The following is a 26,403-nucleotide window of genomic DNA, read 5'->3' as shown; positions in this document are numbered from 1 at the left end:
TTCAAGGCAGTGAAAATACAGCTTTGACAATGGACACAGGGAGTCGTAACACCCGGCAGGCTCTCATTTGGTCTGCACAGAGGAAAGCGTGGTGTGTAAACTCCAGACGTATCTAATGCAGAGCACTTGTTCAGAAGCCCTAGTGCAACATCCGGCTTTTGTTCATGTCCATAGGCGTCTCTTAGAAAAAAAGAACCCAAAGCACATAGAGAGGAAGCTGCTAAAACACTGACTTCTAATTAGATCACTAACATCACTGGAGGAAAAGGAAAATGGATCTGTCTACTGTTTCCTTAAAATCCGCTACTGCTTTATCTAAAAGCTATAAATGACAAACATCCTAAATAGCGTACTGTACTTGGGTTCAAAAGTTCAGCAGTATCTGGAGAAGTGGTAGCACCCTCCCCGAGGAAGGACCAACCTGGGGGCTACAGAAGGGTTATTGAACCTGGCTCCTCCCACTCAGACCATCTGCAAAAGCTTAGGTCTTTGCAGCCATTCTGACCTTCAGGCCTAGAGTCGTTACTCAAACTGCACCTGCCCGGGATTGGGTTTCCTGCTAGTGAATGATTGTTTCTTTCCTTTAGTCTGCAAACAGCTGTCACGTGATCAAGTGGCAGGCAGAATGGAGGGAGCTGGCCCCTTGCAAAAGGGCTGAGTGGGACACCAACTTGGGTGATTCATCTCCTTCAAAAACCTGTTCCTGAAATGCTTTTGTATGTTTATATTGCTTCTTGTTTCAGCTCATAGATAATTAAAGCCTGTCAGAGATGGGGCTCTAACCTGGAAAATATACTATCTCTATACTCATTAGGGCTCATAAGGATGAATGGGGCTCATTGTCTTTCCCTTTTCCCTTTGACCCCAGTGATTCCTAAATCTATGGTTTATAACCTTGCAAAAAAATGAGGGTAACCTTGAAAAGGAATGCACTGTCTCCCTGTAACAAGAGATTACAGTTGCATGCCAGAATCAGTTATACCTGCTTGCTAGACATTTTGCTAATCCAAATAATATGTCCACAGCATGCGTAAAATAACCTTGGACATTTTGACAGTAATGGAATAAAATCTTAGAGGCATTTTCACTCAATAAACATCTTGTGGGGGAGGGGGGATTTACATAACATTTGTACATGTTATTAGGAGATTCTACCCAAGAGGACACTGGCATGCAAGGAAGTGAATTGTTATAGTTACTCACAAGCAAAGTTAAATATTACAAGAAAAGGGAAGGTTATTCTAGCCAAACTTTCTGACAATAAAGAATCACGGCTTTCCCTCAAAAGGACAGTTCTATATTTAATTTAAAGAAAACACACAGAGCTATATCTATCCAAAATGCTTCCCAATGATTAATCGAAACAGTATTCCTTCTTGGATGAGAGTGAAGCAGTAGGAATGGAGAACTGTCAAATCTTCCAGACCTCTAGGCATCCAAAATCAATGCAGAGGTTAGAGTGTTGCTTGGCAGTGGCTTTCCTCCCGAGAATTTCACTCCTGCATATCAAGAATGCTATTGGATTTTTCACACACACACACACACACACCTTGGACATGCCACAAGTGTATTCCTCCTGCTGAAACACAATTATAAGGCTAACAGATCAGATGAGCATGCATTAAGTGGAAAAGCAGGCAGGTTTAAATTGGACTGCAGAGTTATCACAGGTAGAGAAACAAAATTAGTTTATAAGAAAATAAAAAAGAAAGCACTCCTTATTACTCACCCACATCCCTCACCTTCCCCTGTGCCAGCGTTGGCCCTGGGCTTACTAGGATGTTTAAAGGCCGACAAGAAGAAATCCTCATCTACAGCCTTAGCACTTAATGTGGGTAAATGTCAACTGTTGGTACCCAGGTGTTGAATAGCGTCTGCCTTTACTTTTAAGCAATAAGACAAGATAGGCTGAATACTTGTGGGTGACTATTGCTTTGCTCAAGTGAATACCAAAATGACTCTGAACACATGAGAAACATAATAATTCTTTCGAAATGTCCTGACTGAAGCACCTCATTTTAGATTACAAAATGGATTTCATACATTTCAGCTAGAAAGAAAGAAAGAAAGAAAGAGAGAAAGAAGGAAAACAGGCGGATCAGTTTATTTTCTGAGCACAGTATTAATGACATGATGACATCACCAACAGCCAATCAGAAAGCTCTCTGGTGTCTGGTGTTCTAACACCATTTCATATTTATGGATAAGCACCAGAAGGGTGTCAACCCTAAGCTGCATTTCCCTCCCTACTCACTTCTAAATAAAGTGCTTGCTTTCATTCAGCAGCCAAACTAACAACAAAAAAAAAGCCCTCACAGTAGCTCTTCCTCCTCATCCCAGCCTGTTTTCTGACAATTCTGAAACAATAAGTGGAAGGAGGGGGAGACTGGCTGGAACTTTGTGTCACCGCTTCCTGCAAAGCCGCTAAAGGCATTCTGGAGCTTCTGAAAAGTCCTCATTGACAAGCCAAAGCCAAGGCTTCATCTGCAAAACCCCTAAGAGCAGACAAAAGGGAGATTATTTGCAAAAGGCAGGTTAGGGGTGTCTGTACTCAGGAAATTGATGCAATTGTTTTTCCCCTCCCAACCATTTTTTAAAATTATTATTTACTCCTAGTACTTCCTCACCCTCTAAAGCACTTTTGAAGAAGAGAGTGAGAAAGTTAACCTTGCCCAGGTTAATCTGAGGCCAGCGCAGCCCGAACAGTTCATAAGTTCAGTTTCCCACTCCGAGACCAATGGAGGTCAAGGGTCACCCATGCACCCAGGAACAGGACAATAGGGACGAAACTGTCACATCAATGATGGCACTCTGTTCTCAAGGTTGGTGCTAATTGCTGGGCTGCTGAGAGATGTAATGGCCAGAGCAGGAGTAGGGCCCACATTTATTTTTGGTTTGACATCAACGATCTGTATTGAACAGAAATTAATAATGCATTTCAAATTCGAGGCAGCACAAAGGAGGTGTCTGTAGCATCCATGAAAAGTCCCTGCCCTAGACAACCACTCCACCTTTCTGGCTCTTACAATTCTCCCCAAACCTCATCTACAGATGAATATAGCCCTCTTCTTTTTCCACATCCCAAACCATCTGATGCTGTAGCAGGATCACTGGATCAAGCTCAAAAACCAGAATTATAACATGTAATAAAGATGCTTGGCCATGCTGCAAAGATGACAGAATTTGGCATGCTGGCCCGGAGCCAGAGCGACAGATCTTGAGCTGATGTTCCTTTTCTACAGATTTAACAACGTACAAGGAGAAGAAAATTAATAATCTGATCAGAGCAAGTTCAATGTCTACGAGCTTCCCTTGGTTTCCCTCTGATGAGCTCCCCACCCCACACTTTCCTGGATGCCAAAAACAGCCAAATGAAATGACTGTAGCCTGTCCCTTTTCCTAATTAACTTGGTTCAAAGGTAAACTATTAAATAGATTCAAAGAGGGAAGGAGAAGAATTGGGATCCTCACTATTTGGGGGCTATATAATTAGAATCACCTAATTTCTTTCATATGCGCCATCTGAGCCAAAGCATAAAGATGCCCCCGCCGCATGTGAAAGCGTACATATTTTACACACAACCCACACACACACATTCTTCTACCTGCCGAGTCCCTATACAAATCAGAAAGATCACAATATAAAGAAGAGACAGTTGTCTGTGAAGCAAAGAAGAAAGAAATCTGACCTCAGACCTCTAAATCCTTAGGTCATCTGGGGCTTAGGAGAGGGAGGGAAAAAATTGTGTCTTTGTTAGATAGCTTATTTTAAAAAGGCACAAGAGGGGAGGAAAAAAAAAAAGAGTTTCTTTTGTCCCTTATGCTAAGCAATGGGTGTTGTCATTTTGAAAGTTATACAAATTCACAAGACAAAATAAAAAGCCAGACATAAAAATCTGAGCACTCAACAAAAAGGAACAAATTAAAATGCAGTATGCTGGTATCATAAATCCAAAAATAAATATGTGGGCAAGTGTTTCTAAAGGGCACTCTTCCCAATGCTCTTTCCTAATGCAAATGAAATCCGTTCCAAAACCTACCTATTAGAAGGCCTTCTTATTACTCTCTAATCTTGGTGCTCCATGTGAGCTGGCAGAAGGGAGAACTAATTTGGATCATCCAAAAATCATTTACATTTGGTTTTGGTTGCATTATATGAGGGTGGTAAGTTGGCTACAAATTTCCCTCCCTAATTAAGTTTACTTTAGAATAATTTTAAGTTTTATATTCCCTCCACACAAGCCAAGTAACAACTGCAGACAGTGGCTGGCTGGCAACAGCAAAAAGCCAATCATGGATTTTTTTTTAATTGTCATAGATAAGTTATCTGTACACAGCTAATCATGGTGACAGAATTAGCTTCAGCTCAGGGTGCCAGTGTTGGGAAGCATCCAGAGACCTAGATTTGCCAATGATGTCAGGTATGTGCAAACAAAGGTGTGATGAGGTATGGCCAGGTGTGAGACCCACTGGGTGGAATACCATCCATCAAAGAGATGTCTTTCACTCATTATAATCACACCCCTTACTCCATGTTCCATCCTCATAACCCTGAGCCTTCCTCCAGTTCTTCAAAGACAGGGCTGTTGTTTACATTTCTTAGGATCTTCAACTCCCATCCAACCTACATATTTACAACACACCCACACTCAGAAAAGTCAGAAATGGCATGGAGAATCCAGGCTCCAATTTTGATTCCACTTAGACTATATCATAAATCACAAGGCTATTTGGAGACTAACTGCCTAGTGATTGGACCCAGTAGACGTGAATCAGGGCTAAGATTCTATTATTTAGAAAAAGTACAGAAATCTCTCATTGTCTCTGTTTAGGTATCATAGGATCTGCTTCCTTTGCCATCTTTATTATGGATTCTCTTTTTCTTCAACACAGGTTGAGTATCCCTTATCTGAAATGCTTGGGACTAGAAGTGTTTCAGATTTTGGATTTTTTCAGATTTGGGGATATTTGCATTATATATTTACTAGATGAGGATCCCAAGTCAGAAAATTTGAAATCCAAAATGCTCCCACGAGGCAGGGTGCAGTGGCCTCCCACCACTTTGGGAGGCCGAGGCGGGTGGATCACCTGAGGTCCGGAGGTCGAGACCAGCCTGGCCAACATGGCAAAACCCCATATCTACTAAAAAAACAAAAAAATTTAGCCAGGCGTGGTGGCGGGAACCTGTAATCTCAGCTACTCAGGAGGCTGAGGCAGGAGAATCACTTGAACCCAGGAGACAGAGGTTGCAGTGAGCCAAGATCATGCCATTGCAACCCAGCCTGGGCGATAAGAGTAAAATTCCATCTCAAAAAAACAAACAAACAAACAAACAAAAACCAACGCTCCCATGAGCATTTCCTTTGAGCATCACGTCAGGGCTCAAAAAGTTTTGGATTTTGGAAGCATTTTACATTTTAGATTTTCCACTTTGGGATGCTAAACCTGTAATACCAAGGAGTTGGTATGTAAGCTATCTTGCATAGTGTCTTTTTTACTCTTTTTCATCTCAGGCTTTTGTTTTTTCATTCAGATCAATCCAATGTTATGTTTTCTTTTCATGTAATCTCTTGTGAAGAATGCAGAAGAATCCTGTATACCTCTGAAATTCATGAAGGAAAATTTAGGAAAGGAAAGTATGGCCAGGCGTGGTGGCTCACGCTTGTAATCTCAGCACTTTGAAAGGTTGAGGCGGGCTGATCACTTGAGGTTAAGAGTTCGCGACCAACCTGGCCAACATGGTGAAACCCCGTCTCTACTAAAAATACAAAAATTAGCTGGGCATGGTGGTGCACACCTGTAATCCCAGCTACTCAGGAGGCTGAGGCAGGAGAAAAACTTGAACCTAAGAGTCGGAGATTGCAGTGAGCCGAGATTACACCACTGCATTCCAGTCTGGGCAACAGAGCAAGGTTCCATCTCAAAAAAAGAAAAGAAAAGAAAAGAAAAAAATAAAAGTATGCATATGGAAATATGCATATTAGAACAATATCATAAAAAACAACTGTCTTTCTTTACCTGCCCCCAGCCCAAGTAAAATTTCCTATAATCCTCACCATCAAGAAAAGAGTAGGATTTGTGACAAATCAATAGTCAAATCAAATACAAGTATTAGTTTCATTGTTCATTTGAAATGTACAATGGAAACGAATAAAGCTTTGAGACTTTAGGAAAGAAAATTTGTTTTGTTTTGTTTGAGATGGAGTCTCTCTCTTTCACCAGGCTAGAGTGCAGTGGCTCACTGAAACCTCTGCCTCCCAGGTTCAAGTGATTCTCCTGCCTCAGCCTCCTGAGTAGCTGGAACTACAGGCATGTGCCACCACGCTTGGCTACTTTTTGTATTTTTAGTGGAGACGGGGTTTCACCACGTTGGCCAGGCTGGTCTCAAACTCCTGACCTCAAGTGATCCACCCGCCTCGGCTTCCCAAAGTAATGGGATCACAGGCATAAGCCACCACACCCGGCCTGAAAAGTTTTAAATCTCATTTAAAAGACTCATTTTTGCATGCCTCCAAAATTTTGTTAGGAAGGGAATAGGGGAGATGCATAGTTACTGTGAATCATTCATCTTCTTATAGACAACATATGATCAACTGCTACTCGTCATTACAGAAAGAAGACATAGAGAAGACAAACCAAAAGGGAAAATTATAGAAACAGAGTAAAGCCAAGGCCACAGAATAAAAAGAATATATGGATTAAAACATCCCTAAAGCATGGCCTTCTGTTCTAAGAAGTTTCCTCTAGTTTGACAAGAGGCAACTTTATCCCTGGTTCCTTGAATAAACAAGGGAAATTTGACCCATTTGCAAAGCTAGAAGAGTAGACATGTCTGGGCCTTACCATTTATCCAACATCCTGTCCCCCAAAACAGGAAGTGAATCACAGAGCTGAGGAACTACTTTATCATTTTCAAAGGAAAAAGACACAGAACTCGAGAGTTAACTTCTTATTCTGAAACAATATGCTTCGAGATAATCAAGTTATTCATTCTGTTTATAATGACCTAAATTGGTTCTTATAAACATTTCATCTAAGCAGTTTGCATCTCACTCAATATGATTTGGTTTCCATGTAAAAATAAGGTCTCATAATGGCAGCAGCAGATTCATATTCTCTCTCTTGTAGTCCGTTACCCGTATGTGTCAGCGGAGAACGTCTACAACATCAATTATGGCTGAGATTAAAGGAGGACATGGCTATGTCAGCATCATGGATTATGTTTTTGGCACACAGGAGGAAGACAGAAATAAATGAGTTTGAATGGAATATTATTCAACCCTGGAAAAGAAGGATAGCCTGCCATTTGCAACAACATGGATGGACCTAGAAGACATTAAGCTGAGTGAAACAAGCCAGACACAGAAGCACAAATATTGCATGATCCCACTTTTATAAGGAATCTGAAATATTCAAAGTGGTAGAACCAAAGAGTGGAAAGGTGGTTTCCAGAATAGTTGCTGGAGAAGGGAGAAATGGGGAGGAGTGATTCAAAAGGTACAAAGTGTTTATATGCAAGATGAATAAATTCTGGACAAAAGAGGGCCTCTAGTTAACAATAATGTTTTATTATACCTAACATTTTGCTAAGAAAATAGAACTTACGTTAAATGTTCTTACCACAAAAGTAAAAAAAATTTTAGAAATTTAAAAATAATTGTAGTGAGCCAAGATCGTGCCATTGCACTCCAGCCTGCGTGACATAGCAAGACTCCATCTCAAAAAAAAAAAGAAAACAAAAAGAAATTTAAAACTAAATCAATAAAAGCAGCAGAGGAAACTTCTGAAAGTGTTAAGTTTATGCCTTGATTGTCAAGGCTATACACTTCTCCCCGAATTCATCAAGTTCTACATGAAATACATAAAACATTTTTTTCTCAATAAAATGGTTAAAAAAAAAAAAGTGAGTCCTTTGACCAGCATGGTGAAGGCAGGTTAAAAAGCCCACTGATTTCCTAACATGCATACAGTGGTCCATAAATTTAATGTCCTAAAGCCAGCCTGGTTTCCCTGTTATCTGGGCTCTTTGGTTCTAACATTTTCTCTAATTATAGTTAAGCCACTAAATTTGGAGAAAAGACTAGGATATTAATTTCTTTCTTTTTTTTTTTCTTTTTTTTTTGGAGACAGAGTTTCACTCTTGTCACCCAGGCTGGAGTGCAATGGTGTGATCTTGCTCACTGCAACCTCCGCCTCCCGGGTTCAAGCGATTCTCCTCTCTCAGCCTCCCAAGTAGCTGGGATTACAAGTGCATGCCACCACACCTGGCTAATTTTTGTGTTTTTAATAGAGAAGGCGTTTCACCATGTTGGCCAGGCTGGTCTCAAACTCCTAAACTCAGGTGATCCACTCACCTCGGCCTCCCAAAGTGCTGGGATTACAAGCCTGAGCCACAGCGCCCAGCCTAGGATGTGAATTTCATAAAAACATAAAATAATTACTAAAATACTTATTTATCCACGCATATAATCTCAACTAACAACCATCAAACTGTAGGAATCTAAAAGACCTAGTCATGGCATTCATACAACTTAATTGTTCAGTACCAAAAAGATATCTGTGTTTGAAAGTTATCTTCCGAATTACTGAGGGGGAGAAAAATAATCCTAGGTTACACTCAGAGGCCTGGCTAATGTTTGCCCACAAATCATCACACTGTAATACGAACAGCCAGTTGTCTGCACAAACAATTCCTCTAACCATTTGCCTCTTCTAATAGTCTAAAAATTCAGATATTAATACATTCTCAAGTATAAAGTGAAAGAAGCTAGGTGCTTTGGTTTATGCCTGTAATTCCAGCACTTTGGGAGGCCAAGGTAGGAGGATCGCTTAAGGCCAAGAGCTCTAGATCCACCTGGGCAACATAGCAAGACCCTGTCTCTATAAAAAATTAAAAATAAATAAATAATTAGCTAGGCATGGTGATGCACACCTGTAGTCCCATCTACTCAGGAGGCTGAGGCAGGAGGAACACTTGAGCCCAGGAGTTGGAGGCTGCAGTGAGCTATGATGGCACCACTACATTCCAGCCTGGACAACAGAGACCTTGTCTCAAAAATAAAGTAAATTAAGATAAAATAAAAGAAGCTTACATTATATTAACAATACTTCATTATCCATTAAGTATTTGTGACGGTTTTGAATAACAAAAGAAAAACTGACACATTGAAAGAAATATTAATGCCAATCAATGACATTCTCAGGGCTGCTCATAAGGCTGTGCAAGATGTCCCCTACACAATCATGCCCAACCCAGGGCGGGAGTAGGGACACACAGCCAGCCCTCACCTGCTTGCCAAACCACACACCCTGAGGCCAAAAGGAACACCTTTTTCTAACTCATTACAGTTTTTTGCAACTCTGTAACCTAAACAGCATAACTGTTTGTTACTGAGTTGCTGAGGGTGTCTGCAGTCAGATTATAAATGTATATACATACAGGTATATATATTATATATGTGTATGTATGCACACACATATGTATATACAAATTATATATTACTTCATTATCTATCAATCTGCACCCATCCGCTCAAATGTTGTAGTGCATGTATGTGAAAGCCGAGCTTTTCACTTAGTACCTAGCAGACTCTCTACAAACAGTTCCTCAGTCTGGACTATTTGGAGTAAGGAAGAAGGGAAAGAAGAAAATACACCCAGAAGGCTAGGCGCGGCGGCACACGCCTGTAATCCCAGCACTTTGGGAGGCCGAGGTGGGCAGATCACTTGAGCTCAGGAGTTCAAGACCAGGGTGGGCAACATGGTAAAACCCTCTCTACCAAAATACAAAAAATTAGCCGGCAGTGGTGGCGCTCACCTGTGGTGGTCTCAGCTAGTCGGGACGCTGAAGTGGGAGGATTACTTGAGTCCTGGAGGCGTAGGCTGCCGTGAACTGATATCACACCACTGCACTCCAGCCTGGGTGACAGAGTGAGACCCCATCTCAAAAAAAAGAAAAAAAAAAAGAAAGAAAAAGAAAATACACCCAGAAGAGGTGATGAAAATGGAGAGAATATGGCTAAAAGAGCCAATATGAGGTAAAAAGAGGAAGAACAATAGAATGAATATCTCTGAACACTGTAAAGGGAAGACAAGGCTGGCCGACTTGACCCTCACAAGGTTATCTTTAGCTTTCATTCCATTAACCTGCGGGCTAAGTCATTTGGGTGATTTAAGTATGGAGCACTAAAGAGGCCAGAGCCATGGGTTCATCCATATGTGAATCATGCTGTTTCTGTTGCAAGGCCATAGATTTTGTGCTTAACTCAAATTAGCATCTTGCATATGCTTCCTGCCAGTCACAAGGGAGGTCGGAGCCAGAGAATGGGGAGGTATCTGCAGAAATCAATCATCATTACCGCAAGGAAAAAAAAATTCTCTAGGTATCTGCTCTCCCTACAGTGGTCCTTAAGGATCAACATTTCATGGGAATGAAAGAACATTTTTAAATGAAGATTGTAGCAGCTCAATGGCCAGTCCCATGCTGTACTGCACCCTCATCGACATGCCTGTCATTTCTCTTGCTCTGAGGTTGGAGGAAAGGGACCTGCTTGAGGTTTTAAGCATTTGCATATTTATACTGAGTTCATTATCATGGGCCCCAAACATTTTTGCTTCCCCACAGGACATTTAGATAAACAAGGCTAGAAAATTATCCTAAAATTGAGAAGAAAATGTTTTCTAATGTTCAGACACCCTCCGAAATTAAATATCACCCACATTCATACTCTGTTTTTTCTGCAGACTCCTGGAGTGATTGCCTTACATTACAGTCTAATGTCCCTGAAGTATTAAGTAAACCAAGCAGTTTGGGTAGTGTAACAACAATAATCACTAGCTTTGCTTCTTTATTAGTGGCTTTATAGACAAACTACATTTTTTTTAAAATGAAAAAGTTTGCTTCAGGCTCAATTCTTGCATACCAAGCTTCATTTTGTGGTGAAATTTAACAGTCTCGTTATAAACCCTCGAATGTTGGGAATTATGATGATGGAAATGCTGACACAACATTAGCCACAGCTGGCACTGCAAAAATGCTTTTAAATACGTAGACTCTCCCCTATGAAGTCAGTCCCCAGAGCCCAGAACTTTGTGATTTTAAACCATTAAAGTGAAATCGCCAAGAGTGAAAACCATAGGGAAGACTGGAATCATAGACTTCTAACTAAAGGCATTCAGTATTGACGACGGAAAGTTCGAAAAAGCACTTGCCAAACTTGTTTCTAAATTATCAGAGGAAGGAGAGAAATAGGAAGCGTTCATGTAAGGAAAAACTTGATAGTGCCACTTGTCATAATGAAAGAAAGAGAAAGACAAAAACAGAAAGAACCTGTGATATTTGACACTCAGAGGTCAATGGCTAAACAAAGACATCAGTCTATTTGTGTTAAATTTTACCTGTCTTTGTCAATTTAAATGTGAATGCCTGGAAAGGAAGGAACTGCACGGAAAATGACTATCAGACAACGAAGCTAGAATCTCCTTAGAGAAGATACCCCAACCCAAATAAATTATACACTTCAAAGACTAGGGTATGTGTATTCTTTAAGGAAAAAAATGCAGAGGCAAGTAAAAACCAATTGGTTTGGGGTCTTAATAATCAATAGATCTGTAAGATGCAAGTTCTATAAACCACACTAATTTTGTAGACTGGCAGCTGTTTTCACTATAACCTTTTTTTTTAACCGTATCATAAACTATATCATTAGTCTTTTCCAGGCACATCCTTTGTCCCGAGGCTGGACTAAACAACAAGAGGGATGTTGGCCAGGTGCCATGGCTCACAACTGTAATTCCAACACCTTGAGAGGTCAAGGTGGGCAGATCACCTGAGGTCAGGAGTTCAAGACCAGCCTGGCCAACATGGTGAAACCCCGTCTCTACTAAAAAAATACAAAAATTAGCCGGGTGGTGGTGGACGCCTGTAATCCCAGCTACTCAGGAGGCTGAGACAGGGAGAATAGCTTGAACCCTGGAGGTGGAGGCTGCAGTGAGCCAAGATCATGCCACTGCACTCCAGCCTGAGCGACTGAGCAAGACTCTGTCTCCAAACAAAAAAAAACAAGTGGCATGCTATATGTCTGAAAGTGTATGGGTTTCCCACACCACATCCCAATTAAGCTTATTCAGCAAAGATATGGAGCTACAACGGAACTACATTATCTTCAATAATTAAAACTATCATATCTAAAAGGAGTCCTGAATATTATGGGAGTAAAATTCACTTAGAAACAAGGAGAAGAAGCCCACATATATATCATCCTGTATGTGGACATTCTGTGTACTCCCTGGGCAAAATCTCTACCATTTGAATGGCTTCAACTACCATCCATATGTGAATGATTCCCTAATGCTTATCTCTAGGAGATGGTTCTCCTAAACTAAATCATATCTGTATATACCCAATCTCCACTGACAGGTATGACAGGAAACTAAATGTCAGCATGCCCAAACCAGAAACCACAGACTAGCCACCCACCCCAATGAAATCCCCAACTTGATAAATGATAACACCATTTACCTAGCAAAAACCATCCTTTGTTATCTTTAATCTAGCTTTATTCTCTTTTATTCTGCCAATGCTATCACTACATTGTATCATTTTACTTCATAATAACTTCTCTCACCCATGTCTACCACATACCATGCTGTATTTCATCAAAATTTTTCAACTAGAACATTACAATAGAAACTTCACCGGTTCTCAACTGTGAGTCTGAAGCTCCTTCCATCTACCATTGAAGTCCTATTAGAGTTTTGTTTTTTGGGGTTTGTTTGTTTTTTTGATACAGGGTCTCACTATGTCACCCAGGCTGGAGTGCAGTGGATCGATCTGGGCTCACTGCAATTTCTGCCTCCCAGGTTCCAGCAATTCTCCTGCCTCAGCCTCCCAAGTAGCTGGGATTATGGATGCGCACCACCACACCTGGCTAATCTTTGTATTTTTAGTAGAGACGGGGTTTCACTATGTTGGCCAGGCTGGTCTTGAACTCCTGACCTCAGGTGATCTACCTGTCCTGGCCTCCCAAAGTGCTGGGATTACAAGTGTAAGTCACCATGCCCAACCCAGAGTATTATTTTTAACCTTAAAACCTGTTTATATCCCTCCATTTCTCTAAATTCTTAAATTTAGAGAAATTCTATAGCAGTGCATTCTCAAATGTTAGAGGGATAAGAGTCCTGTGTAGGTTGGGGGCCAGGCATGGTGGCTCACACCTGTAATCCCAGCACTTTGGGAGGCCGAGGTGGGCAGATCACCTGAGGTCATGAGTTTGAGACCTGCCTAGCCAACATGGTGAAACCCCCTCTCTACTAAAAATACAAAAAATTAGCTGGGCGTAGTGGCGGGCACCTGTAATCCCAGCTACTTGGGAGGCTGAGGCAGGAGAATTGCTTGACCCGGGAGGCAGAGGCTGTAGTGAGCCGAGATCATGCAACTGCACTCCAGCCTGGGCAACAGAGCAAGACTCCGTCTCAAAAAAAAAAAAAAGAAAGAAAGAAAAAAAAAAAAGTCACGTGTAGGTTGGGGAGAGGGTGACATAAGATAGATTCAAGTCTCCCACAAGGAATTCAGTAGTTCTAAAATGGGCCCAGGACCCTGAAGTTTGAAAATGCTCACCAGGTGACTCTTATGTAGATAGTTTGAAGGGTATACTTCAAGGACTATAAAATACATAGCTCCTTTTAATAGTATACAAGGTACTTCGAGATCTAGGCAGGGGTTTTCAAGCCTATCAATCCCAAGTCCCTTTTTATAACACACTTTTCTGTCTTGAAATAAAAATCGTAAGTAGTATATAACCTACCTGCGTAATAATTTTTAAAAGTAAATCAGTATAATATCTTAAGTATAGAAGAAAAAGGGGGGAATGGAATTGATAATAACATAACTTTTGTTTTTACATATTGGCACAAAACTGCCAACAGAAGACACCATGAAGTAGCTGTGTGCATGGAATCACCGTGAATACAGCTCCAAACACAGATCCACACAGTATGTTTTATCGATCATTCAAATTTCCAAAGTGGTGTGGCCATGGCTGACACAATTTCTCTAAATTGTGAACAGTATTTAGTAAAGGTCCACATAAAACGATGCGCAATCTTTCCCCAACTGACAAAGTAGTTTTATTCCTGGAAAATTCAGTGTGCATTAAGCCTGGCAACAAATACTTTGTACCTATATGTAAAACAAAGTTAGGTTCTAGCTCAAACTCTTATAGACAGGTTCTGTAATTAACTTTACATAAATATCTGTTGAGACGCTTGAGAATAATCGTGTTAAACACAGGACAATTCTTCATGTGCAGAACTATCTTGTACATTGCATCGTACCTGCTGCCTGGGCTTTGCTCATTCAATGCCAGAAGCGCCTTCCAATCACTGTGACCAAAGAAAGTATTGCATGAGTTTCCAAAACACCCCCAGAGCGTACAACTTCATCTCCCAAACAATCTAGCATCCAGCCCAATCATATGAACAATTTTAGTTTTTTGTGTGTGTGTGTTTTTTTAAGACAGAGTCTCGCTCTGTCGCCCAGGCAGTGGTGCAATCTCGGCTCACTGCAACCTCCACCTCCTGGGTCCAAGTGATTCTCCTGCCTCAGCCTACTGAGTAGCTGGGATTACAGATGCGTGCCACCACGTCCGGCTAATTTTTGTATTTTTAGTAGAGACAGGGTTTCACTATGTTGGCCAGGCTGGTCTCGAACTCCTGACCTCAGGTGATCCGCCCGCCTCGGCCTCAAAAATTGCTGGGACTACAAGCGTGAGCCACCATGCCTGGCCTCCATTTTCACTTTAAAACCTTGCAAATGTGTATTGACTCTATAGTTCTTAGCCAAAATGGCATTTCCTGAATCCAGTTTCCCTTGACCCTCCCAGGCCACACACTGGGCTCCTTCCTCTTGCTCTCATGGTCTTGTATACACAGCACCATAGCAATACCATCACTGCCATCCCATGACTTGGCATGATGACACTCTTCCCTCCTTTGGGTCTTAGCATATGGCAAACAGTAGATAGGTTTAACAAGTATTTTTGAATAATTTATTTAATAAATTCCATCCCCATCCATCTTATCCTACCTCTTCTATCCTAGCAGGGGAGGGCAAGGCAAAAGACAATTAAGAGAAAGAGGAATGATCAATCCTGGTGTGTTCTTGTGGCTCCATGGACCCAGACAACACTGTCTTTTCCCGTTCTTCTATGAGTAACGATAGCTGTATTCCTTCCACTCCCAAAATATGGTGAAATCTGTTGGGGGAGGCCAGGGGGCAAGAGGGAGAGTCATGTAGACAAGTTAGCCACTTCCTGTGAGATGGCAGCCAAAGACTTCCAGGTAATGATTGACACTGAAGACGAAGGTTTTCCTGACTGTGGGAAAACTTGTTAGCAAAAGGCTGCATACACAAAGCTATTCAACCACAAGGCTGGAAGAGAATCAAAACAAGCCAAGCTTAATTAGAGCTGAAGATTTCCCAGCTGGGATCCATGTTAGGGGTTGAGCTCCAAAAGCCATCACTGAGGAGGCAATTCCTTCTCAAGCAGGACAGGCTCTGAGGCCACCAGAGACAGAGCAGGGGATTTTTTTAAATCTTTCATATAATCCAGCATTCTCAGCTTTTGTACTTTTTTTGTTTCTTTTTTAACTTAAACTCTAGGCACCGGTGAAACCGCATGCTTCCCGCTCCCTGCTCCTCAACTCCCCTCCCCTTCCATAAATTAAATTAATGAGGAGTTTTCTAAAAGAGTACATTCTCTTAAAGCCTCTGTTATTCTGAAGTTAATGGCTCTGACATGTAGCCAGGCCAAATAGTCACAGGCAGCAATAACTCTTGCAACAGCTCCCAAACTTACCCTCAAATGTCACCGAGTCCTACCCTGATCTTTCTTCCCCTTTGATTATCACTGGTTGCCTTTCTTCCTCCCCTCACATTTTATAGCAAACTCGAATACATCAAAGAAACTAGTTAAGGATGCGAAGATTGAGAAACACATTCAATCTTAATGTTATGATCTTGTCTTTTCCTTCCCACAACTTGTCTTTAAAAGAAAAGGACAAGTATAAATTTGATGCCACACAGAACAACAAAATACATTTAAAGGAACAAGGGGGAGGAACCTTTCTAAATGCCAGCATGCTAATCTCTTACTTAGCATGCACTTATGGCAAGGATTGTGTCGTTATGTATGATAGGTAAATAATTTTTACATGATAAGTAAGTGGACGTGTCTGCAAGGAAGATCATCAAGTAAACTCAACAGAAGCAATTGCTTCAAATCACCGTCCTAAACTAACTCGCAGTGTGGTGATGATCAAAAAGGTGTAAAAATGAAAATAAAACTGCAGGAGGACCTGATTCCAACAAACATAATGGGTGCAAGGTCAGAATAAGCATAGTGATATTTATTCAACTTCTTAAGCTTCAAAGGCCAAAAAAAAAAAATAGATTAGATACATGTTTATAAACCAGCTCATCTATCTTGAAAATAAAATGTAAAATATCATTTTTTGGATAAAATGGATCCAAATTCTTGTACCCACAATTTGATCTCAAAATCTGGGCTGATATGCAAAATTTTAGTATATATGCTCAAAAAAGTGGGGGAAGAGGAAAACAGAAAAAACATAAAAGAAAAAAGGGAGTGGGCACCGTGGCTCACACCTATAATCCCACCACTTTGAGAGGCCAAGGCAGGAGGACTGCTTAAGCCCAGGAGTTTGAGACCAGTCTGAGCAACACGGCAAGATCCTGTCTCTACAAATAATTTTAAAAAATTAGTTGGGCATGGTGGTATGCACCTGTGGGCCCAGCTACTCAGGAGGCTGAGGTGGGATGATCACTTGAGCCTGGGAGGTCAAGGCTGCAGTGAGCAGAGATCACATCCCTGCACTACAGCCTGGGTAACAGAGCAAGACCCTGTCTCAATAAAAAAGAAGGAAGAGGAGAGGGAAAGGAGAGAGAAAGGACAGGGGAAGGAGAGGGAAGGAAAGAGAAAGGAGAGGGGAGGGGAAGGGAGGAGAGGGGAGTTCTATTTGCTTCTACTAACTGACCCAGTCTTATTTGAGCCCACAATAATTTTCCTTTTCTTTTCTTTTTCTTTTTGAGACAGAGTCTTGCTCTTTTGCCCAGGTTGGAGTGCAGTGGCACGATCTTGGATCACCACAACCTCCACTTCCTGGGCTCAAGCAATTCTCCTGGCTCAGCCCCACAAGTAGCTGGGATTACAGGCGCCCGCCACCACACCCAGCTAATTTTTGTATTTTTAGTAGAGATGGGGTTTCACCACATTGTCCAGGCTGGTCTCAAACTCCTGACCTCAAGTGATCCACCCGCCTCAGCCTCCCAAAGTGCTGGGATGACAGGCGTGAGCCACCATGCCTAGCCGATACTTTTCAAACAGTTCTTCAGTATGCTCCATAAAACAGTGTCTGTCACCTAATGTCCTAAGGTTCCAAAATAATAGAAGCAGTGATAAGATGAGTAAAGGAAGACTGATATGAGGCGTGCATGCCTGGAAGAGGAAACATTCCTTTGCAAGTACCTATTTGGGGGGTAAGTGGTTAGACTTTGAAAAGGCAGCAGGTATGTTCTTCACTTACTCTAGACTGCCCTTTCATTCTCTGTGCATAACAGAATTCTATTTATAAAGAACTTCCGAGTGTCAAAGGCATTTCCACATACATTTATCTCATTTGATCCCATAGCAATTTACTAAGTAGGCATATCCCCTTTACAGATGAGAAAAACTGAGGTTCAGGAAATTTAAATGACTTACCCAGAAGACACAAAGAGCAAGTGACTAGAAAGGCACAATACATAACTTTTGATTTCTTAGTAATAGGCCATATTTTTATATCATCTCCAAATTTATAGAAATAAAGAGATTAGAAGGAAGTAACAATATGAAAATCTGGTAAATTTCCAACTATTCCCCAAGTCAGGAATATCACATGCAAAAAACTACACACAGATAAGGAGGTAGTGAGTTTGCTTCAAGACTGATATAAGTTCATTTTCACTTACTAATTATCTTATGAGTCCATCTGCATACTCTACTCCATTTCCTAACATCACAAATACTTGTCTAGTCTGTGATAGTTTATTCTGACCCTGAATTTGTGATGTTACTAGCTGTTACTGAAAACATACTTAGCAGAGTACAGCCTGTTCCTTACCAATCCATCTTTCCATGAGGTGAAAATGCCCTGGCCCTCGACAAAAAGAATAATCTGGTAACATTGAATATAAACACAGACATTTCTCTTCTAGTGTAATTCACTGAGCACACATCATTAAGGATCAAAACGCAAGCGAACCAATCAAAGAATGGAAAAGGAATTCTAAAACATCAGAGTTAATTATATCTGGTTGTCCCAATAGCTGTCACTCGTTCAATTAAGATGCTGCTTTGGCTAATCTTAGTCAAGCTGTGCCTCTCTAAAAGTCTGAAACCCCAGCAATAAGATCTAAAGTCAAAACATCTAAAGCTAAAGCATTTTCCCCCTAAGGAGAGCTCTGTATTTACTAGAGTGTCCACAGCTCCTATCAACATGCAACCAACCGTCTGTTCACTCTTCCCACCAACAGGCTGTGCAGCGTTAGCTCTCCAACACCCAGCATCCAGGGAGATCCTCACACAGGTGTTCCAGGAAACCTCTATAACCTGTTTCTTTACCCATCCTGGAAACAAAAACCAAAAAACAACAGAGCAAAGGGGTGAAAACACCATGGGCCTGTTCTCTTAAAATGTCTCAGCTTATAAGATGACTTTTCGTTTCTTGGTTTACAAGGAATAAAAAGATTCTTGTCACATGTTGATCCTGTGTATTGTTACACTGTCATGGGAACAACAGGTAAAGGTTCTATTCCTTAGTGACAACAGGCTGCTTCATTATCTCTCCTTTTTATGTTCTAAGGGCAAAAATATTCAGGGTCTGCAGGGTAAAAACTATGGAAGCATAAACAAGGAAAACCTGACTCTCCCTCACAACTGCATGTCCTACTAAAAGGTAAAAGGACACTTTGGGGTTGTCTCGGGTGAAAACTGCTGGAAGGAAAAAGCCTGAGAAAGCCGCTGACAGCACCAGTGCTTTGCATCTCTGGACAAATTCCTTTCCCTCTATCAATACGTTTTATTTTTTCACGGAGGGGAGGGGACTCATTTTGCCAAGAATTTATTGTGCATCGGTAAGTGGATGGGAACTTTATAAATATTGTCTGGTTTAATCCTTCCCACAAGCCTACAAAATAGGTAGAGAATCCAAATTTTGAACAGGAATGAGAAGAGGTGTATATTCCAAAAGCAGCTATAGGAATTTAAGTCAGGATTGGGCCCAAGAAAAACTGTGAATCTCTTCTAAAATTGTGAGACGTCCCTGCATCCACATGTCGTGGGTGGGTTCTGAGATGAGGACTGAGCACAGCCCCCAGCTCCTACAAGCATAATGTATAAGCACAGCTGTGTCTGCCCTGCTGGTCTGCAAACAGCTGAGCCATGCTCTGGGTTTGCTACTGTTTTAAGTTCAATGTGTTCATATGTCTTCTCACATCAGTGATAAAAGCATACCCTGTAAGTCACTGGGTCTCTTCAAACCCCTTTTTTTTTTTTTTTGGAATATTTGATCTAATGTAGCAGTTTAGTAAAGTATGTCAACAAATTTTCATGACCCGTCCATCTGTCTATATCAAAATAAATTAATTCTCCATAAAACGCATCGACTTCTTAATCTCCCACAAACCGGCAATGGTTAACGGCAAGAACACAGAGAAAGCTCAGTATCTTAATCACTCTCTCCATCACTTCATACAGGGAAACTGACTTGCAAAGTTCCCACACAAACTCTCTTTTTGAATGATGCAATGGAAGCTGTGCACAGCAGCCTTCTCTGCTGACTTAAGTAAACCAATGAAACTGCCTTTTCCCCTCTCATCACAGGTGCTCAATGTACAACAAAACTCAATTTTTCCATGACTAGTTGAAAGCTCCAGAATTCCTAACTGTTCGAAAGGGTTTGAAAGCATCCTCCCTGAGCCCACTCCTGAAAAACTCAGGCAGACTATACCCTTACATTAGTAGGGCTGCATTTCACACATCAGGAAACTCCAACCCTTACAGTCTTCATAAACAAGTATCACAGAGGTTTGACCACATATGTTCCATTTTTGAACCTTTAGCACACTATTTTTACCCAACTCTCTCGTAAGACCCACCATATACCGTGTGGGAGAAGATTCCACATCAGTCAATCACATTAACCAGTCCTCAATGTCACTCAGTACTGAAATGTTAGCCCCAACCCACCCTGCATATTAAACGCATCTGGCTTGGTCAGCCAGATAACATCCTCACCCAACGGTGACGCGCATCAGTGGCGTGCTCTTGCTAAGCTCACAGATTTTCTCAATGGTCTGTCGAAGTGTTCCTTGCTTATGTAAATCAGTATGTTAAAATCTAGTAGATATAGGATATCCCGCTAAAGAGCAGGCACATTGAAGAAATGAGTGTATAGGCTCTCTGTTCCTCCTATGAACTTTATTAAGGAACTGGAGCTGGAGGAGAACAAAGATCTTTCTCCATATTTCAGTTTTCTCCCCTCCACTCATAGCATAGCACAGTCCAGAAAAAGATATAAAATCAAGTGCCAGCTGGGTGCAGCGGCTCACACCTGTAATCCCAGCATTTTGGGAGGCCAAGGCAGGCAGATCACCTGAGGTCAGTAGTTTGAGACAAGCTTGGCCAATATGGCGAAACCCTGTCTCTCTAAATATACAAAAATTAGCCAGGCATGGTGGCGCCTGCCTGTAGTTCGAGCTACTCAAGGAGCTGAGGCAGGAGAATCGCCTCAGGATACAGTGAGCCAAGATCGCGCCACTGCACTCCAGCCTTGGAGACAGAGTATGATCGGTCTCAAAAAAATAAATAAATAAATAAAAATAAAAGTTAAAAAATAAAAGTAAAATAAAGTGCCACCTTAAGAGATGTGACAGTACTAATCTGGGAATATATCACAGGCTCTCAAATTTTAATGTGCCTAAGAATCACCTGATAGGTGCTTGTTAAAAATGAAGATTTCAAGACTCTTCCCCAACAGTTTCTGATTCAGCAGGTCTACCGTCGAAACCAGGAATTAGCAGCTTTAACAAGTGCCACAAGTGATCGGATGCCGGTGGTCCCAGGACCACACCTCGAGAAAGCCCCGCAGAGAGATGAGTGCATGGAAAGAGCCAACTGAGAGGTGGGGCTGAGTAAGGCCTCTGGAATTCTGAAGTGGTTTTAGCCCCATTGCTCCAATTGTAAAGCCTGTTCAGTTAAAAATTCACCCAGCACAGTACAGACAGAAGTTTGACATAAAAGCCCTGATAACACTAATGGTGGTAAAGGGACCTCTTTCGATAGGCACCTGGTTTGTGCCTAGTTGCTTGCTTTCAAGATTTATCCAGGTCCAGCCTCTGTGCTTGGGATAACAAAGCTCTCATCTTTGGTTACCTTCATTGGAAACAACATTCCCTTTTCCCCATCAAAATTCATCTAGTTCGGTTCTTTATAAATTACGTTTACTACATGAGGTACAGTTATACTCTATTTTAAGTACGACATTACTTTGTTTTTTCAGGTGAAGCTTAAACAAATGTGAGGCAGAAAAATGTATTAATGCGGCACTAATGAGAAGACGGAATCAAACTCCCTGCAAATACACACACACACACACACACACACACACACACACACACACACACACACGTGGGAAACTTCTGGCTTTTTTTTTTGTTTAAAGAAAACCCTGAGGAGCAAGCTAACAAAATATCAATAAAGTTGGAGAAACTGGGGCCGGGTGAGGTGGCTCATGCCTGTAATCCCAGCACTTTGGGAGGCCAAGGCGGGTGGATCATTTGAGGTCAGGGGTTTGAGACCAGCCTGGCCAACATGGTGAAATCCCGTCTCTACTAAAAATACAAAAGTTAGCCGGGCGTGGTGACATGCACCTGCAATCCCAGCTACTCAGGAAGCTGAGGCAAGAGAATTGCTTGAACCCGGGAGGTAGAGCTTGCAGTAAGCCAAGATCCTGCCACTGCACTCCAGCCTGGGTGACAGAGTGAGACTCCATCTCAAAAAAAAAAAAAAAAGCTGGAGAAATTGGAGCACAAAAAAAGTCTAAGCGATACAAAGATATTATTTTTAAAAGGATTAATATTGTCCTATTAAACATTTATTAAACATAGACATTTTGTGAAGTGCTGCCAAAAGCAGGAATGGAACTAGAACCCAGGACTCCAAATTCCCAGCTCTATCAATAAATCAGGCAATTTCCCTCCACAATCCAAAATAGCTGCAAATGCTCTGGTTATTTTTTAACATATGGCTTAAATATTTATATTTTAAGTGCTTTCAGCTTATAGTCCACATCATAAACATTCATTAACATTTAGGCAACTTCCTGAGTAACTCTAACTGCAAGGTCAGACCAAATACACATTTAAGCAAAATAAACATTCCCAATCATAGGCTATAAATTGTTCCAATATTTACTTGATAACCTGACACCCATATTCATTTGCCTCTCTTCCTCCCAAAATAATGTTCTTTGGGAGTTTTTTTTTTCTCATGCAACAAAAGATAGTGTTACTGAGGCCGGAGAGAAAGGAGCAAGGTTTCAAAGATACCAAACTTAGAATTTGGAATAAGCTTAACCTTAGGGGGATCTATCTCCTTGATTGGTGTGTTTCATGGCATTAAATTTAATTAATTAATTAATCCAACAAATACTTGTGTATTTGCCAGGCCGAGCGCTCTTCTGAATGAACAGAGTCAAAGTTGTTGCCTACAATGTTTACATTCTAGGAGACCGGCCAACAGTAAACCAGTCAGCAAACAAATATTTAGTATAACATCAGATACGTTTAAGCGCTCCGAAGAAAAATAAGGCAGGGTAAAAGGGACAGAGAATGACAAAGTATTGGAGGGACAATATTGCTATTTTAAATAGGGTGGACAGAGAAATCTACTCCGAAGACTTAGTCAAATTATAGACTAAATCAAAAAATGAGAATAATATTAACTTCCCTCTCAAAGTGGCCACCACGCATGGGTCAGTAGAAAAAGCTGCAGGCTGCTTAAACACATGGGAATTAATGAACATCCACAAATTTTAGAGCAAGAACAAAAGAAACTTGTGAGGCTAACCTGCTCCAGAAGCCGCCAAGCACGCAGAGGGAAAGAAAGAAGAATGTACCTTTCACCTGGCCCCACTCACAAGAGCTGGCCAAGATCACTCCCAAGCCTGACTTCCAGGTAAAGGGCTACATGAAATCAGCCACAAAGGGCGCAATGTGGAAATCAAGGAAAAAGCACCATTTAATAAATTCCTTGGAGTTATTTTTCAGGGCAATGACTGAATATAGTAATTGACATATCATTGGATGCAAGTAAGATAAACATAAGTAATAAGGTTTTACAAAGGTTATGCGTTGTAATTGTAATCAGATACAATGTTTAAATTCTTAATAAAAGAGTGACAAGCTTCAGACATCAAATTTCTAATGTAAGTCTCTTTAAAACATGCACACTCTTTAGAAAGTCAATATCCTATATTAAACGGCAGGAAGCAACCCCTTTAGAAGTTTGCAAAGAGGGTGAAGTAAGCTGTTGGTATTTTAAAGGAAATAAACATTTGAACAGTCCAAAGCTACAGAAAAGCCATAATCTATTTCAGATTAAAAGACATTAAAAAGTCATCGGTTTCTAGTATCTAGGATTAGAGTTTGGTTAGAGCTTCAATCATTCATGCTTTTAATCTAAAATTGGTCCTTGAAAGCTGTAATGAATTAAACAACATACTACCCACAGAATCAATTGTAAAAATATACTGTAAGTAAAAGCATAATGACTCAACTCACTTCCTTCCTCATTTTCCCCTAATCCATTTGACCCCCTTCCTGTCACCTAATCTAATCATTGGCTGGGTTTCCATTAAGATTCTCCCCATTGTGCTATCTGAAGTCATTGCATTGGCTCTCCCAGATTTAAGGGACAATTTTGTAAATGTCACCATATAAAACTGAATTGCTAAAATGTAAAGTAGACAGTGATTCAATTCATGGCTGTGTGTTCCAAGAGTGGAGTAGTGTGAGATCCATGCAGTCTAGAAGGAATTTTTTTTTTTTTTAATTTTTTTTGAGAAGGAGTCTCGCTCTGTCACCCAGGCTGGAGTGCGATGGAGTGATCTCGGCCCACCGCAACCTCTGCCTCCTGCGTTCAAGAGATTCTCCTGCCTCAGCCTCCCGAATAGCTGGGATTACAGGCATGCACTATCACGCCTGGCTAATTTTTTATATTTTTTTGGAGAGACGGGATTTCATGGTGTTAGCCAGGATGGTCTCGATCTCCTAACCTGGTGATCCGCCCACCTCAGCCTCCCAAAGTGCTGGGATTATAGGTGTGAGCCACTGCACCCCGCTAGAAGGAAATTTTTAAGAATTTTTTTTACAAGCACTGCCCAGTAACTAGCTGAAAATATTCCTAAACACAAGTTTTCAAGCTTGACAAACACATCCTTTCCTTTCTACTACCACCACCTCCTCCACTGTGGTCTATACAACTGACAACAAAGTTTGCACAGAACATTACAATTTCCAAAGCGTTTTCTCATACAGTTAGTATCATCTGATCCTCACAGTAGCCTTGAGACCTTATAATTATCCTAAGTCACAAAAGTACATTGCCCAAACTAAGACCTGGGGTATAGAACTACACACATGCGAACTGGCTTTTGGTTTCATCCAAACCTAAACTGCTTGCTACCAATGATATATTTTAGAACAAAACAATTTCGCCCCTGATCAGACCTTCATCAACCTTTTCTGTGAACTTCTCAATTTACAGACAAGGATACCAATTCTCTTGTGTGTACTATATATTGTAACATTACTACTTAAAGGCAGATATCCAAATAATTTGACAGTGTAGGTGGTAAATTAACAATTTCACTTGAATTCATATTACTGATAAAGAGAGGGATCTAATCTTTGGTCCAAGGTCACACACAGTTAATAGCACTCCTTGTATAAACCTAGGTCTCTCTGGCTTCTATACTCAACCAGAAGACTAATCTAGCTGATGATTAAAGATGAAAGTACAGAGAAATACGACCCCAAGCAAGGCTTTGACTGGCAAGCCAACTCATAACCCACCTTTAAAACTACAATTTAAATGGGTAAGAATGGTATACACCTAAAGTAACTCAATTTTAAGTCTCTTAGATGCTCTGCTCAGTGGTCATATTAGAGCCTAACTGAAGAGCAATTATTGCTGGTTAATTATTTCAGCAGTTTATTGCCTAGCAAACAAAATTAAAATCACATCTAAGAAAACAATAATGTGCCGGGCGCGGTGGCTCAGGCTTGTAATCCCAGCACTTCGGGAGGCCAAGGCAGGTGGATCACGAGGTCAGGAGTTCGAGACCAGCGCGGCCAACATAGTGAAACCCCATCTCTACTAAAAAAAAAAAAAAAATACAAAAATTAGCCAAGTGTGGTGGCAGACGCCTGTAGTCCCAGCTACTAGGGAGGCTGAGGTGGGAGAACCACTTGAACCCAGGAGGCAGAGGTTGCAGTGAGGTGAGACCATGCCATTGCACTCCAGCTTGGGTGACAGAGTGAGACTCTACCTCAAAAAAAAAAAAAAGAAAAGAAAAGAAAAGAAAAAAAGAAAACAATAATGCTTCAGGGTTTTCCTCTCCTTCAAGAAACTTATAGTGATCATTTGACCTCATTCTATGAAAATGCCTGTTTCTCTTCCAGGTTGTGTTTGCTTTTGTGGAGAGGAGGAATATAATTATTACAAACATACTCTCTACATTTGTATAGAGCTTTATCACTGACAAGTGCATTACATTATCCCATTTGATCTTTGCAGTAACCCACTGTGGTGGGTAGTATGGGAAGTATCACTACATTTTAATTAAGTGGAGGCTCAGAGAGGTTAGGTAATCTGCCCAGTGTCACTAAGTAAGGGCAGAACAAGGACACAAATACAGGTTATTTTGTCTTTAAGCCTTGGGCTCCTGTGCACCCTATTACTTGGACAGAAATGCATCATCTAAGCAAATGCCCTGATGTCCCCTATATGTCAGTCTGCAGTAAACTCATTACCAAGTACACTAGAAAGGTTTTCTGCTCTGTCTCCAAACTATCTCTCTCTTATCCCTCCATCAAGATAACTCTGACATATTGTCTTACTCTTGAGTGATGGAAGCAAACACTACAAAACTGTGCAGATAGATTATCTCAAATCGCCAGGCTCTACAGAAAAATAGAATAATTTGGTCCACAAGATCTGTTTGAGGAATCCATCAATAAGCTTCAGAATTAAACTAGTCAAGGGAGTGGACCTATCACCACGC

The 26,403-nt window shown here is 41.0% G+C and overlaps 2 long non-coding RNA genes across 3 annotated transcripts in view, besides 2 other annotated features; one reads left to right on the top strand and one right to left on the bottom strand.

Annotated features, from left to right (window-relative positions):
• The window catches only part of CASC15 (cancer susceptibility 15), a 529,408-nt gene that overhangs the window by 348,334 nt on the left and 154,671 nt on the right, over positions 1-26,403 (bottom strand). The gene's annotated exons all lie outside the window — the stretch shown is intronic.
• Positions 221-350: an enhancer, noted in NCBI's record as "active region_24144". NCBI's record gives its function as "activates an Ori minimal core promoter by ATAC-STARR-seq in GM12878 lymphoblastoid cells {active_cell/tissue: GM12878}" and the evidence as "EXISTENCE:reporter gene assay evidence [ECO:0000049][PMID:35858748]".
• Positions 381-430: an enhancer, noted in NCBI's record as "active region_24143". NCBI's record gives its function as "activates an Ori minimal core promoter by ATAC-STARR-seq in GM12878 lymphoblastoid cells {active_cell/tissue: GM12878}" and the evidence as "EXISTENCE:reporter gene assay evidence [ECO:0000049][PMID:35858748]".
• Positions 19,104-21,707, top strand: LOC105374970 (uncharacterized). 2 transcript variants are annotated; one of them, XR_926573.4, is made up of 3 exons: positions 19,104-19,192; positions 21,097-21,240; positions 21,619-21,707. It is a non-coding gene; the product is annotated as an uncharacterized LOC105374970 (long non-coding RNA). The 2 variants fall into 2 exon arrangements; XR_007059493.1 differs by having other exon boundaries at positions 19,117-19,192; positions 21,112-21,240.

Source organism: Homo sapiens, chromosome 6 (assembly GCF_000001405.40).
Source record: "Homo sapiens chromosome 6, GRCh38.p14 Primary Assembly".
In the NCBI taxonomy this organism is placed as follows: domain Eukaryota; kingdom Metazoa; phylum Chordata; class Mammalia; order Primates; family Hominidae; genus Homo; species Homo sapiens.
Note: the sequence above shows the minus strand (reverse complement) of the source record. Positions and strands in the feature narration are given on the sequence as shown.